The sequence below is a fragment of the Homo sapiens genome, chromosome 6, assembly GCF_000001405.40.
Source record: "Homo sapiens chromosome 6, GRCh38.p14 Primary Assembly".
Taxonomy (NCBI): domain Eukaryota; kingdom Metazoa; phylum Chordata; class Mammalia; order Primates; family Hominidae; genus Homo; species Homo sapiens.
This window is the reverse complement of record NC_000006.12, coordinates 34,991,452-35,007,398: the sequence shown is the minus strand read 5'-3', so window position 1 is coordinate 35,007,398 and position 15,947 is coordinate 34,991,452. Positions and strand designations below refer to the sequence as shown.

At 40.8% G+C, this 15,947-nt stretch overlaps 1 protein-coding gene across 10 annotated transcripts in view, besides 1 other annotated feature; it reads right to left on the bottom strand.

Annotated features, from left to right (window-relative positions):
- The window catches only part of ANKS1A (ankyrin repeat and sterile alpha motif domain containing 1A), a 208,736-nt gene that overhangs the window by 90,592 nt on the left and 102,197 nt on the right, over window positions 1–15,947 (bottom strand). For all 10 annotated transcript variants that reach the window (XM_011514431.4, XM_011514434.4, XM_011514432.4 and 7 more), the window contains one exon: window positions 12,977–13,097. In XM_011514431.4, the coding sequence (XP_011512733.1) occupies window positions 12,977–13,097 (121 nt within the window). The remainder of the gene's footprint in view (window positions 1–12,976; window positions 13,098–15,947) is intronic.
- Window positions 14,396–15,044: an enhancer, noted in NCBI's record as "NANOG hESC enhancer chr6:34960132-34960780 (GRCh37/hg19 assembly coordinates)". NCBI's record gives its function as "activates a minimal SCP1, AML or CMV promoter by ChIP-STARR-seq in naive and primed H9 embryonic stem cells {active_cell/tissue: H9 hESC(naive and primed)}" and the evidence as "EXISTENCE:reporter gene assay evidence [ECO:0000049][PMID:30033119]".

The window sequence follows — 15,947 nt, the reverse complement described above, 5'->3', positions numbered from 1 at the left end:
ACCCAGTTAAATAAAACTACCATAAAATCACATGGGCCTTGTGTCTTTTTGGAGGATGGGCTTTCTACTTCATAGATCTATTAAGGCTTTCCACTTCTGCCAGCTTTTGTTTCTTCTATAGGCACAAATGGCATTTCTGGGTAGGAAAATTACTCACTGTGAAGGACTGTCCTGCATAGTACAGGATGCTTAGCATTCCTGGTCCCCAGGCGCAAAATGCCAGTAGCAACCCCACCTTAACCAGTCACTGTGATGGACCAAAACGCCCCCAAAACAATTCTAAATGCTCCCAGGGGATGGCAGCAACTCTGATTAACCACATAAAACTTATTCCTATAAATCATCTTATTATTAATTTTTAAAATCTCTTAATTTGAGGTTATATATTCTTTTTTGTCTTTTTTCTATTCTTTTTTGTGGAGAACAGGGTCTCACTATATTGCCCAGGCAGGTCTCAAATTCCTAGGCTCAAGCTATCCTCCCGTCTCTGCATCCCTAAGAGCTGGGATTACAGGTGTGAGCCACTGTGCCTGGCTATATTCTTTTTTGAAGTTTTAATTTTAAAAATTTTTTTTAATTTAAATTTTTGTGGGTACATAGTAGGGTACATGAGATTTTTGTTTTTGTTTTTTGTTTTGTTTTTTGAGACGGAGTCTCGCTCTGTCACCCAGGCTGGAGTGCAGTGGTGCGATCTTGGCTCACTGCAAGCTCTGCCTCCCGGGTTCATGCCATTCTCCTGCCTCAGCTTCCCGAGTAGCTGGGACTACAGGTGCCCATTACCATGCCCAGCTAAATTTTTTGTATTTTTAGTAGAGACAGGGTTTCACTTTGTTAGCCAGGATGGTCTCCATCTCCTGATCTCCTGATCCACCCGCCTCGGCCTCCCAAAGTGCTGGGATTACAGGCGTGAGCCACCACGCCTGGCCGAGATGTTTTGATACAAGCATACAATGAGGAATAATTACATCACGGAGAGTGGGGCATCCATACTCTCAAGCATTTATCCTTTATGTTACAAACAATCCAATTACACTCTTTTAGTTATTTTAAAATGTACAATTAAGAATATTCTTTTTTTTTTTTTGAGACAGAGCCTCAAAAAAGAGGCGCCTCCTGGGTTCAAGCGATTCTCAGCCTCAGCCTCCTGAGTAGCTGGGATTACAGGTGTGTGATATCACGCCTAATTCTTGATTTTTTTTTTTTTTTTTTTTAAGACAGAGTCTTGCTCTGTCACCCAGGCTGGAGTGCAGTGGAGTGATCTTGGCTCACTGCAACCTCTGCCTCCCGGGTTCAAGCGATTCTCCTGCCTCAGCCTCCTGAGTAGCTGGGACTACAGGCGCGTGCCACCACACCCAGCTAATTTTTTGTATTTTTAGTAGAGACAGGGTTTCACCATGTTAGCCAGGATGGTCTCGATCTCTTGTCCTTGTGATCTGCCTGCCTCGGCCTCCCAAAGTGCTGGGATTACAGGCATGAGCCACCGCGCCCGGCCTAATTCTTGTATATTTAGTAGAGGTGGGGTTTCGCCATGTTGGCCAGGCTGGTCTCAAACTCCTGACCTCAAGTGATCCACCCACCTTGGGGTCCCAAAGTGCTGGGATTACAGGCATGAGCCACCATGCCCGGCCAACAATATTCTTTATAGCATCTTCATATGTAGCGGTTTTTTCCTCTTTCTTGATCAAAATTGTCAGAAATCTTTAAAAAAATACAAATTCATTTTAATGATCAAGTCTCTCCTTTTGGTTTCTTTACTTTTACTTTTCTTTCTTTCACTAAGGTGTAGCACACATAACATAAAATATCAGCAATATACTATCTGCTTTTATCTCAATAATTCCCTAACAATCTATTAGTTACTCTCTGCTACTGTCTTTTGGTTAAATTTTAATCTTTCTTGTTGTTTAACAAATGAATTTAAGAATATAAACTTTCCTCTGAGTACTACTTTGGCCAAGTATTATAGGTATTTACACAAAGTGTTTCCACTACCACTAATTTCTATGTAGAAAAATAGAAAAAAACAGGCAACTCATAGACTAAACATATAACACTAATCAATAAGGTAAGTTGCTCAGTTTCAATGACAAATAGCACGTTTTTTGCTTAACATGGTGGAAAACATTAAAGACTGATAATACACCATGTTGGGAAGGTATGGAGAAGAGCATACTTCTCTTCACCATTAAGGGAGGGCAATTTAGCTCCACCCATTAGATCTAGACATGCACATACACTCTGACCCGCTAATTCTACTTTCTATCAATCTTTTTTACAGACATACTTTTATAAGTATTTAAGAACACATGTACAGAATGTCCACAGAAGCATAATTTATAACAGAAATCCTGGAGAAGGAAAAAATGAGTTATGGGATATTTAGCTAGATTTTAAGGACCAAGATAAAATTGTATCTGTGCTCTATAGACAAGGCAAATACAAAATGCAAGTTCACAAAAACTTTGTAAAATATAATCCCACGTTAGCTTAAATACAAACAAAGAATTTCACATAGTCACTTTTGTATAAAGATAACAAATGGTCTGAATCATATACACCACACTTTCTTTCTTTTTTAACTCTGTGGTTAGATTAGGATGGTATTATTTTGCTATTAAAAGGCAGTTACTTAAAAAAAATTTTTTTTTGCAGAGATGGGGTCTCACTATGTTGCCAGGTTGGTCTTGAACCCCTGGCTTCAAGTAAGCCTTCCTTGGCCTCCCAAAGTACTGGGATTACAGGTGTGAGCCACCACGCCCAGCCTACCACGTTTTCAAATGATCACCTCTAGCAACTATGAGTAACAGGGAGGTGAGAAGAACCTTAACATTTTATTTATATTCATTTCTGTATTGCTTGAAATGTTTTCTTCCTCAGTGAGCATATACTAATAAGATAATATAAAAATGTAATTTTTAAAAATTAAAAAAATTTTATTTTAGAGATGGGGGTCTTGCTATGTTGTTCTGGCTGGTCTCCAGCTCCTGGGCTCAAGTGATTCACCCGCCTTGGCCTCCCAAAGTGCTGGGATTACAGGAGTAAGCCACTGCACCCAGCCTAAAAATGTAATTTAAAAAATTTCCCATCTCACTGTAGCGGGACCAGCTGCGGACAAAACCCCTCAGACACCAAGATAGTGAAGGGAGTGGCTTTAATCAGCTGGGAGCATCAGCAGGCTAGTGTCTTAAAATCCGAGCTCCCTGAGTGAGCAATTCCTGTCCCTTTTAAGGGCTCACAACTCTAAGGGGGGGTCCGTGTGAGAGGGTCGTGATCGACTGAGCAAACAGGGGTACGTGACAGGGGCTGCATGCACCGGTGGTTAGAGTGAAACAGAACAGACCGGGAAGTTTTACAATGTCTTTCTATAATCTATAGATAACATCAGTTGCTAGGTCAAGGGTGGAATTTTAACTACCAGGCTTAGGTCAGGCAGGCCCAGGCCTGGTTTCAGGTCTGGTTCCTTGGTTTCGGGTCTGGTTCCTAGGCGCCAGGCTACCTGCCTTTAGTTTTGCTTCTCTTTCCTTTTCTGAGTATAAAACAATATAAAACAATATGAGAGGGTCTCTCTTCCCTCATTTCCCCTCTTTGAGACTCTCACTTTTTATTAGTGGGAGTTCTCACTCTTATTTTCGCCACTTCTGTCTTCTTGTGCAATAGATTGATAGTGATTCATATAGTACACTTGTGCTGAAGCATTTTGGTGAACTAAGGTAGCGATGAGGCTTTTTATCACTTGAAGAAGTACAGGTAGCAAACAAGGGAGCAGTAAGCAGGTTCCTATTACTATTATAACTCTTATTATAAGAGTTTTAAATCTTTCTAGTGCTGGGAACCAATTTCTAAACATGGCCTCAGGGTCGAATCCATGCTACACTTGTACGGGCACATGTGCCAGTTCTGTCATATTTTTAACTATGTCTTTAACTACTTGCCTTTGATTATCTATGTGTAGACAGTAATTAGTAAGGTTAAATTTTTTATAGACCTCTCTTTCAGCTGCTAGCAAGTAGTCGAGAGCCAATCTATTTTGATAGACAGCATTTCTCATCTGAGTTTCTTGCCGGGCCAGAATAGTCAAGGCTTGACCGGTTTTATCAGTGATGATTTCTAAAACAGCTTGCAACCGTATGATTCGGTTGAGCATGTAAATGGGGGTCTGGTATCCCCATGAGCTGTCTAGTGCCTAAGTAGCAGGCCTATAATATTGTATGATTCGCTTAGGGGGCGATTCATTATTTTTCAATTTTTTAATAGCTATGCTTTTCTTTTTGCGGGAAGCATAGACAGGGAAGCCTAGGAGTTCGCCTGTTTTTATGGGCAGTAGGAAGAAAGATGGTTTTAATAGTGCCAATAACACAACTACCTGTCCACTGGTCAGGCAGCTTAGCGTAGGTTCTATGTCCACATATCTAGTATAGCCTAGTGGGAGCCGTCTAGTCCTGGTGGGATTCTGGGTGGGCTTAAACGGTCTGCAACTTTGGAGATTTACTGAATGGATTTTTATCTGTGCGGTTTGAACTCCACCACGTAACTGTTTTTGTGGTATTATTATACAGTTTTTGTCCTAGGCAACTAAGTCATCCTACAGAATGAGTGAATTCTTTCTTTTTTCTAGCTATGCAATATTGTCTAATAATTGAGACTTTTAGAACCTAGAAATGATCAGGGTGATTCTTTAGGGCCGGGAATTCATCAGGAACTGGGTCTGTAGGCACTAATTCTCAGGCTTCTTATGGCCATTGATCTTCTATTACAGTTTCTCCACAAACATAACATTTAGAGACTGGGCTACATACCTTGGATATAATAGGATTATACAAACAAGTTTCTTTTAGAGTACCAGTACACTTATAATAACTATAAAATAATAGGACTGTAGCTATCTTTTGTCCTACCTCAGTGACTTGATGTATATACTGGGAACAGTCCTTCGTCTGAGGAAGGTCAGTTGAAGTCCTTACTGTATAAGTCCAAATTTTAAGGAAAATGAGTCCCGCGATGAGTTTCCTCATGCTTCGGCCATGCGTGGACCAGTCAGCTTCCGGGTGTAACTGAAGCAGGGCTTGTCGTCTTCTTCAGAGTCACTTTGCAGGGGTTGGTGAAGCTGCTCCCATCCACGTACAGCTCCCAGTCTACTGATGTTTAAGGATGGTCTCGGAGGTTGGGCGCACTAGAATAAACTGAGTCTAATGCCTCTACACAGTTATGTTTAACCGGGCTCTCTGATACCAAGAGTGAGGTGGTGGCGTTTAGGGTGTTGCAAACTTCAATGGTTATGCGGGGATTTTCACAGAGCAAGCTTTGGTATCTAGTTAGTCTAGCATTCATTAGCTAATAGTGTCCTTTGCTATTTATTAAAGTCACCACAGCACAGGGGGACTTTATGTTTAGGTTTTGCCTAAGAGTTAGCTTATCTGCTTCTTGTGCTAACAGGGCTGTTGCTGCCAGGGCCCTTAGACATGGGGGCCAGACTTTGTAAACCCTGTCTAATTCTTTTGAGAGATAGGCCACTGGCCTTGGCCAGGGCCTTACAGTCTGGGTTAAAACTCCAACTGCCATTTTTTTTTTCCTCTGGTTGATGAAATGCCAGCGTGAAAGGGATAGCCAAATGGACTAAAGCACAAGTGCCACTCTAGTTATTCAGCAGAGTGCCCAGTAAAGGTCCACCACAATACCACCACACATCCGCTCGGGGATGAACAAGGGCTGACTGATTGATAAGCTCTTGAAAATTCTTAAGCTCACTGCATCCTTTCAGGTCTCCAAGGAATGCTAAATTTCTTCCCTGTCGTGAGAGACACGAAGTGAACCTAGTGTTGGGAGATGGAAGCTGGATGGCCCTCAGGGGCTGCCCCGCAGGGTGCTGGACTTTGAGATATAGCAGAGAGAGCTTGGCATGACTTATTACTCCAGGCTGTAGAATCCCGGAAAAGAGCTACCATGGAGCTGACTGGAGGACCACCTTAGTGGAAGAGGGACAATCAGGGCCTCTGGCCTGCCATGTGCACAAGCATAACAATTGCTTTTGTTTAATGTGCAGATGGAATATTTGATCCATTCCAACCAGGCATTTGCATCTTGGTATGCTGTCTTAATTGCCAAAGTTTGTTTTAAGTCTTTAACTTCTATCATCCTCTAGTAAAATGAATGTTTCCTTCAGCACCAATTTTTATTAGTTTTTAGACCAAAGAAAGCTAAACACCATTTTATATTTAATAATGCTTCTTATATGATTTTTATACCAGATAAGCTAAATTTTACCTTTATATTAGTGTGTTATTAACGTTAAACTTAATTTTAATAAAACCTTGTAGACATATTTATCCAATTTTTCATGTTTGACCATAAGGTAAGTTTTTATAGACTCTTTTTAACCTTTCATAATTTTTGTTAAAGAGCAGGTTGGTGCTTTAAGAAAAACCTGTTGCATTTTTACTTTAATGTCCAGTTCACAGAAAAACTGAATGATACCTTTTTAACTTTAGCTAACATGTTTACACACAGAATTTTTTTTTTTACAATTAACATTTTAAAACTTGCTTAAACTTTCAAAGCAATAATTTTTTTTAACCTTTTAATGTAGGTAAAAATCCACATTCTTATGCCTCCTTATAATCCTTTTACCAAAGGTATAGTTTACTTTCCTTATACACCTTGCACATAAACTGTTTCTTTAATAGTACTCAGGAGGCTTTATTACTTTTAAATTATACAACATTTTTTGCATAAATTTTTTTATAACATTTTTTCTTTCATGACTTTCACAGATAATTCTTCAACATGTCTCAACTTTCTGACTTATTACAAACATTTTTTTCTTTAAACAACCGGTTAATTTATTTCAGGACAAGAATTTACTATATAACACTCTTTTTACATAAATTTTGCCTCCCTCCACTTTTTTTTCTTTGAAGATAACCATTCTTTTTTTTTTTTTAAGTGAACTTTCTTTACGTCTGTGGACTAGACTGTCTAAGGCCACAAGATTAGAAGTTACTATAATACATGTTACACTGTTAACTTTTAGCAAACTTTACTTTTGTTGAAAACCTTGTTAGTTTGGGATTTCAATTATCCTTTGCTATTAATAAGACCTTGTTTAGTCTAAATTAACTTAGAATTGGTATAGATGGCTTTTTTTTTTTTTTCATTAGCAAAGCAGCTGCCACTACAGATTGAATGCATCTGGGCCATCTGCGGGTTACTGGGTTAAGGATTTTTGATAGGAAGGCCTCAGTGCTTTCGGGATACGCCCTTGTTTACACTGACTACACTGACAACAAAGTGGTATTAGAGTGTTACAGGGTTACGAAGAATACCTTTAATTATCAATTATAGGTTTCAAATTTACCTTGGCTTTTAAAGGAATAGGGTATACTGTTTTTTTCTTAAGTACTTGTATATTTCTTTCTCTTTTTCTCTCTTTGACTTTCTGTCTCTCTCTCTCTGACTTTCCTTTTGCCTCTGTCTCTTCCTCTTTCTGCCTCTCTCTTTCTCTGTCTCTCTTTCTCTTTTCTTGACTCCTTCTTTGTCTCTCTGTCTCTTCCTGTCTTTTCCTCTCTTTCTCTCTGCTGGTCTTTCCTTGCCTCTGCCAGCCGCTTATGCTGCTGTTCTCTTAACTACTGTGGCGGGGAAGGGGGTCTAAAACCAGCTGTAACTGTCTATGTAGGGAAACTGGTCTGGGTGCCTTGGCTTACAGGTTACCTTGTGCCATACCTTTGAAACAAGGGACCTGTCTAGGCTTCCTTCTGATGGCCAACCCACCTCTAATGCTGGCCAGTCTATTTCACACAAAGTTCTAAGTTTTCCTGGTGTCATAGTAACACCGTAATCTCCCTTAAATCCTTTCTTGAAATTTTTCAACATAGTTCCTAGTAGGGTGGGCTTATTTGTTCCTGACCCATGCTTCTTTGAGACAAAACACCACGCTCACACCACACGCACAAAACAAAGAACAGGTAAAAAGGGCACACACACACTTTTGCAGTTTACACCAAACCAAAATCAAAACCAAAATCAGAGTATCCAGAAATCCAAGCCAGGTCAAAACCAAAACCAAAGTATCAAGCAACCCAAGTCAAGTCAAAAACAAAAACCAAAGTGCCGGTACAGGCACGCCATGGGTGATCAGGCCATGCTTCCGCTCAAATGGTAGAGGCAAATTCCCAAGACCAACCCTGTCAAGGAATTCAAACCATGTCAAAACCAAAACCAAAGTGCCGATAAAGGCACACCGTGGATGATCAGGCCATGCTTCCACTCAGATGGAGTGGGCAAGTTCCAAAGACAAGTCTTACCAAGTTTTAGATGTCCAGACTCCAAATGCCAGTTCCTTCCTGGTGTTCAGCCACTGTGCTGATCCTCCACGGGGGCCTGCCACACACTGCTCTGGCAAGGCGTCCCATCAGGGCAAGTGCCTACCCAGGAGCACTCTCAGGATCCGCGTTGCTTTGGCTGGTTGGAGTCCCCCGCAGGGATGTTCCACAGGGCAGGCTAAAGTCGCCTAAGGAGCTGCCTCAACCATCCGTTAATCACCTCGCTTCCTGGTCAGGGAACCAAGAAATGTAGCAGGACAAGCCGCAGACAAAACCCCTCAGACACCAAGATAGTGAAGGGAGTGGCTTTAATCAGCTGGGAGCATCAGCAGGCTAGTGTCTTAAAATCCGAGCTCCCCGAGTGAGCAATTCCTGTCCCTTTTAAGGGCTCACAACTCTAAGGGGGGTCCGTGTGAGAGGGTCATGATCGATTGAGCAAGCAGGGGGTACGTGACAGGGGCTGCATGCAACGGTGGTCAGAGTGAAATAGAACAGACCGGGAAGTTTTACAATGTCTTTCTATAATCTAGAGATAACATCAGTTGCTAGGTCAGGGGTAGAATTTTAACTACCAGGCTTAGGTCAGGCAGGCCCAGGCCTGGTTTCGGGTCTGGTTCCTTGGTTTTGGGTCTGTTCCTAGGTGCCAGGCTACCTGCCTTTAGTTTTGCTTCTCTTTTCTTTTCTGAGTATAAAACAATATGAGAGGGTCTCTCTCTTCCCTCACCACCCTCACACATTGTAGTTTTTTTAATTATACTAAGGAGGGGTTAAAAGCTCTGACAGTCTCACTAACATGGCCTTTTGAAAACTGATTAATTAATTCATAAAAGCTGCATAAGACAATGACATTAAAGGAAATACAGAAAAGATTCAGTAATACCTACCACATGGTCTGCTGATGTACCTCACTTATACTAACCTTAGCAGGCACTCCTTCTAGGCTAGCTTTTCCTGCCAGGCTGCCAGGATAGGCAAGGCTTCTAAGAAACTAGCAGAGCCCATTTTCATATTCAGTGTCTCAGGTATTTTGTCTGAAAGCTCTTTGAGTGATCTAAACAGCAAGCCTTGAGGCAGGCGCATCCCACAGCCTGTGGTTCAATTAAATCTGCTTCTATACCACCCACTCTCAACACTTAGCCCAATATTGCAGAATTGGAAGAAACCAAAGCATAGGAGGACCAGATGTGTAGCCAAAAGTCCTCCTTGGCAGTTCCTTCCTTAACCTGACGATCTCTTGATATGGGGATACAAAATCCCTTTCAGGCACACTTGGTAGCTAAGGACACCAGCCCCACTTATGAAGTTAGTCTAACTTTCCACTTTTCTTTCTTCCAAAGGTTGAGTCAATTATCTTGTAGTGGTTCCAGATGAAACCTTTGAATGAAAGAAAGAAAGAACTGGAATCTCCCTCCTCCATGATGCTAAAAATTATTCCTTCACTATGAACCATTTTCAAACACAGCATTCATTAATTGCTTGTTTTTTAAGGGTTAGTTTTTTAAGCATAATTTATTATCGAATGACTAGAGAGGGCATTAGTGTTCTACTTCACCTTTTCTAAATGTTTTAATTAAAAATCTACCAATATGGCCAGGCTTGGTGCCTCACACCTGTAATCCCAGCAGTTTGGGAGGCTGAGGCGGGTGGATCACCTGAGTTCAGGAGTTCGAGATCAGCCTGGCCAACACGGCAAAACCCCATCTCTACTAAAAATCAATAATTAGCCAGGCATGGTGGTGGATGCCTGTAATCCCAGCTACATGAGAGGCTGAGGCAGGAGAATCACTTGAACCTGGGAGGTGGTGGTTGCAGTGAGCTGAGGTCATGCCACTGCACTCCAGCCTGGGCAACAGAGCAAGACTCTGTCTCAAAAAAAAAAAAAAAAAAATTCTACCAATATGATTGGAAGACTCAATATAGTTATCAATTCTTCACAATCAATATAGATTCAATATAATCCCAAACAAAATCCCAACAGGACTTTTTGTAGAAATCAACAAGCTGTGCACACTAAGAACCGGGTGTGGGGATGGAGAAGAAATCAATAAGCTGATTCTAAATGGGAAAGACAATGGAACTAGAATATCTAAAACAATTCTGAAAAAAGTAACAAAGTTGCAAAGACAATTCAATAGCGAAAGGAAGGTCTTTTTCAACAAATTGTGCAGAAACAATTGGATAGCCATTTGTAAAACAATGAAACTTGATCCATACCTCACACCATATATAAAAATTAACTCACAATTGATCATAGATTTAAATGTAAGACCTAAAGATATAAAATTTTTAGCAAAAAAAATAGAAAAGATTGGTGGCCAGGCATGGTGGCTCACGCCTGTTATCCCAGCACTTTGGGAGGCCAAGGCAGGTGGATCACGAGGTCAAGAGATCGAGACCATCCTGGCCAACATGGTGAAACCCTAGCTCTACTAAAAATACAAAAATTAGCTGGGCGTGGTAGCACGCGCCTGTGGACTCAGCTACTCGGGAGGCTGAGGCAGGAGAATTGCTTGAACCCAGGAAGTGGAGGTTGCAGTGAGCTGAGATTGGGCCACTGCACTCCAGCCTGGTGACAGAGCAAGACTCCGTCTTAAAAAAAAAAAAAAAGATTGGTGACCTTATCCATTTTTTAAAAACAGGATAAACTGAACTTTATTGAAATTAAGAATCACTTCTCTTCAAAAGACACTGTTAAGGCAACAAAAAGACAAGTCACAGATTGGGAGAAAATCACATATCTAATGAAGAATTTGTATGTAAAATATATAAAGAATTCACAACTCAATAATAAGAAAACAATCTAATTTTTTTCAATGAGCAAAAATTTGAATAGACATTTAATTAGATATTAAGGATGGTAACTAATCACATTAATCAATGCTCAACATCATTAGATATTAGGAAAATGAAAATTAAATCCATAATGAACTAACACCACGTATCTACTAGAATGGCTAAAATTTTTAAAACCTGACAATATTAAGTGCTAGGGATGATATATATAGCAAGTAGATGTATATCACTCTCATACACTTCTGATGGAAACGCAAAATGGTATAATCACTCTGGAAAATAGTTTGGCAGTTTCCTATAAAGTTAAACATATTATATATTTCATATAAAGTTAAACATCTATTGCTGGGATACCCAGCAATCCCATTCATAGGTACATATCTAAGTGATATGAAAACTTCTGTTCACACAAAAATCTGTAAGTGAATGTTTTTAGTGATTTATTTGTAATTGCCAAAAACTGTAAATGACCCAAATATCCCTCAGCTAGAGAAGGGATAAACTGGGGTATATCCACACAATGGGATAGTAGCAATGAAAAGGAACGAATTATTGATATATGCAATGACATGGATGAATTTCAAATGTATTAGCGAAGTGAAAGGGGCCAGGCTCAAAAGGCTACAGATTGTATGATTCCATTTATATGACATTCTGGAAAAGGCAAAACTATTGGGACAGACATCAGAGCAGTGGTTGTGAGAAATAAGGGAAGGTAGAGGGGTTGACTACAAAAGAACATGGAAAAATTTTGGGGATGAAACTGTTCTATATTTTTATTGTGATGGCAGTTATACAACTCCATCTGTCAAAATTCACAGAACTACACACCAAAAAGGATAAATTTTACTGTATCTAAATTATAACTTTTTTAAAAAGCTCCGAATGGAAACCATAAAATACAAAACAAAACAAAAAAAAACACTATGAAAATGACCACAATGTCTGCATGCAAGAGAAAACCTTTTAAACAGGACCATTAAAAATAAAGTCTACAATGTCATACGCATATGCACACATTCTCTTTGCCGCCCTCTACCCACTGACAGATCTCAGCAAAGGGCATTTCAAAGGAAACCATCTCATCCTCTGTTCTTACCTGAACCATGGAATGTCTTAGGGTTGAAAGAAGGTACGCATACCCCATGAAGGCCCTAATACCTGCAAGCTGTAGAGAGCTGGGAAAGGTCACAAGAGTTCCTTCAAACTGCAGTGGGAACTGCATTGTCCCTTATCATTCTTCCTTAGAACAGGGGTTGACACAAATTCTCCAGCAGTGCACACTCACCTCTGTCGTGACTGCACTTATATCGACGGGCTGGATCTCAGTACTGCAGCACTCACTCCCTTACAGAGGAAACTGAATTTTGCAGAGGCAATGAAAGTAGGCCAAGGCGACAGAGCACTCTAGTTACAGGGTGGCAGCCAATCACGGGCCCCTCCCCAGGAGTGTCTCACTCTGAGGTCAGGACTCAAAAGCAGAGTCTGTGCCGTCAGCCTGAACCCAAAGGGACTGACTTGTTGAGCTTGTTTTTCCACAGCATTAACTTGAGGGTTTATGATTTGAGACCCCAAATCAATCTCTGCCGTGGGGCTGGTGGTCTCTCCTCCCACAGTTAGCACCTAGTCTGACCTAACCTTTTCCTTGCTTCGCATACTGAAGGTGGCAGCCAACTCCAACCTAGAGCATATAGGTCAGGTATTGGAAATGAAAAGCCATAATGGACCCACCATCCCAGATCATCGTGAAACCCAACCACCACAACCCAAGGAATATCATAGTTACGACATCTTCCCCTTCCACTCAGGATCACAAACTTTAAAAATCCCTTTGGAGTTGGTTCTGCCAGGAGTTGTGGGGAACGTACCTTTTGTTTTTCCATCCACCAACACCACTTTCTTTGTCTCTGCTGTTAACAACAGTTCATAAGGGTGTTCGTCTTCTTCCCGGGCTGCACTCCCATGAATCCTAGGTCTCATGGACAGAACCTAAGGGAGAGAAACATCCAGTGTATCTTGTGCATGTGGCTAATACCAAGACAGGCAGTCTGGAACAAATTCGAGATTATTGGCTCTTTTTTCATCAAAGAAGAAAGGTGGAAAAGAGAAGGTGAATAATTCAAGTGTCACATAGAATCACAACTGCATTTCTGGATATATATCCATACCTCCAATCTGAAAGGCCTTTGATTAGAATACACCCCTTTCTGAGGATCACTTGAGCCCAGAAGTTTGAGGCTGCAGTGAACCAGGATTGTGCCACAGAACTCCAGCCTGGGTGACAGAACAAGATCCTGTCTCTAAGGAAAAACAAAAACAAAAAAACAAAAAACTCCCTTTTCTTTGATTTTAGTCTTCAAAAAATGCTAAATAAAATCCAGGATCCTTCCTTTCTTGCGTCTCCCATGCCTACAGTGTTCTGCATAATCTCTTTTCTGAGGCTAATACTTGCCAAGCAGCTCTTAGCCATGCTCCATCGTGAAGGCAGACCTCTTTCTCCACGTTTCTTTTCTAATATGCACATATACTATCCAAAGACTGGAATCCTTCCCACCTCCTCAAGAGGAAACCAAAATGACTTCCAACTGACCCTCAACATTTGACGTTTACTAGAAACAAACTTGTCTGTAAGTCCATCTCTATTTTTGTGAGCTTTTCTTCAGAGGTCCTGAGGGTTATTGGGAAGGATATCCCCAAAACTGGATTCCTACAACCTTTATGTTAATACAATTTTAAATTACTTCCACCAATCTCTGCTCTGAAGAGTCAAGTGGCTAGAAAGTTTGAATTTCAGTGTGGAGGGGGAAAAGCAGCTGTCTACTGAGAAATTCCTAATCCAGGCAGTCAAGTGTCTCTGATGAAATAACGGAACCAGAGCTGGCTCCTACACCTGGCAACTGTAAGGCTTTGACCAGCTGAGGGCCTGATGGCCACGGCTTGTCTTGGTACCAGAGTAGCCACGCTTTCCCTTGAATCAAGCTGTAGATACCACAATTAGTGCTACAGCCACTTTGTGAGAGACAATGGATGTCCTTGCTTTAGAGGATAATTCTGGCCCAGTTGTCCTAAGAATCCAAACTGTTTCACAGGCAAAATAAGAAGAAAAATAAGAATAAGCTAGTATTAAGACAAATCCTACTTATTAGAACAGCAAACCAAGGCTCAAGATCTCTTCTTGATCAGTTTGGCTAGGACAAGTAACGTATTACAAACAAGGGGGTGGGAGTAGGGGGAATTCCCAATTCCATCTAACAAATAATGCTACCCTAAAAATGTGATTCCTTGGCAAACACAGAGATTTCCTTCCATACTGACATGTCCCTTAGCCCACTGGAAATGCATCAGGTTTGTGGTTCATCGGGTTTTTGCTTCTCAAGGCATAGCTCACTGTGTTATGTGCCTAATGAGACAACAAGGACTCTAGTAGCGTCAGACTAAACAAGAAACTGCAGCTCCTGTTTGTTAACAAGGCTGCCACTCTAAAGGCAAAAGGACAGTTTCCTTCCAAAATTCTGCTAAGCACAGCAGGAACCTCCACTTACAGCAAGCTACCTGGAAGCTAAAAGCTATTTCATTACAATGAGCCATTTACTCATATTACTTATTCCTTGCCTCTTGATAGGAACACAATTAAGGGAACAAAGAGGGACCATTAAGCAGTTCACACTGTGTCAACTTAATACCACAGGCATCACAGGCAGGAATTTGTGTTCTGCAGGTTTACGCACCTACAGCTATCACTTACACAGAGCCCTAGAAATCTGATTCAGTGAGTGTTCCGCACACAGGAAGAACTCTCATATAGCCTCCGGCATGCTTCCTTCAGAGGTAGGTAATTGACAGCCTGGATGCCCAGCCTATAATATCCTTTCTTCTCATGCAGCAGAGGGCTGATGACTTCCATGTGGAAAATCAGGCCCACTGGACCTGCTTTCACTCTGTGCCTAGTTCTTGTGCAGGACAAATAGAGGCAGAGAACCATCAAATGCCAGAGCTGGAAGGGATCCTAACCATCACAGTAACAGCCAGAGAGCACCCGGTTCTGCTCTTTCATTCGTAGATGACAAACCTGGTTCCCAGAGAGGTCTGGGGACTTGTCCAAGGTTATACAGAAAGCTCACAACAGAGCCATGGGCATAAAAGTCAATTCCCTTGATCCTGGACCAGTATGGCCTCATTTTCTTCTGGCTTTCATTTTTTTCTTCATCCAATTGCTCATACCCAGACGACAAGTAGAGTGATCATTTCTTCTTGGTGCTGGCTCCTACCAGCTATGGGATTAAAAATCCTCACAATAAAGCAATAAACTGCTTTTCTTTGAGCCTTCCTAGCTCCCACTCCAGAAGCCCTATGTCATAGTCAATACGGCAATAACTGATTTTCAACAGAAAGGATTCTGCTCTTTACTAAATTACTCCTTAATCTTTTTTTTTTTTCCTTTCCTCCAGGGCTGGCAATAAATCAAAGCCATATATATATGTGTGTGTATATATATGTATATATATATGTGTGTATATATATGTGTATATATATATGTGTGTATATATGTATATATATGTGTATATATGTATATATATGTGTATATATGTATATATATGTGTATATATGTATATATATGTGTATATATATGTGTATATATATGTGTGTGTATATATGTATATATGTGTGTGTATATACGTATATATATGTGTGTATATATATATGTGTATATGTGTGTGTGTGTGTGTGTGTGTGTGTGTGTGTGTGTGTATATATTTTTTTTTTCCCGGCTATGTGGAAAGCAACATTTCTGCTGCAGAGAAAAGCTATGAGCAGTCACCACCTAACAGTGACCAATGG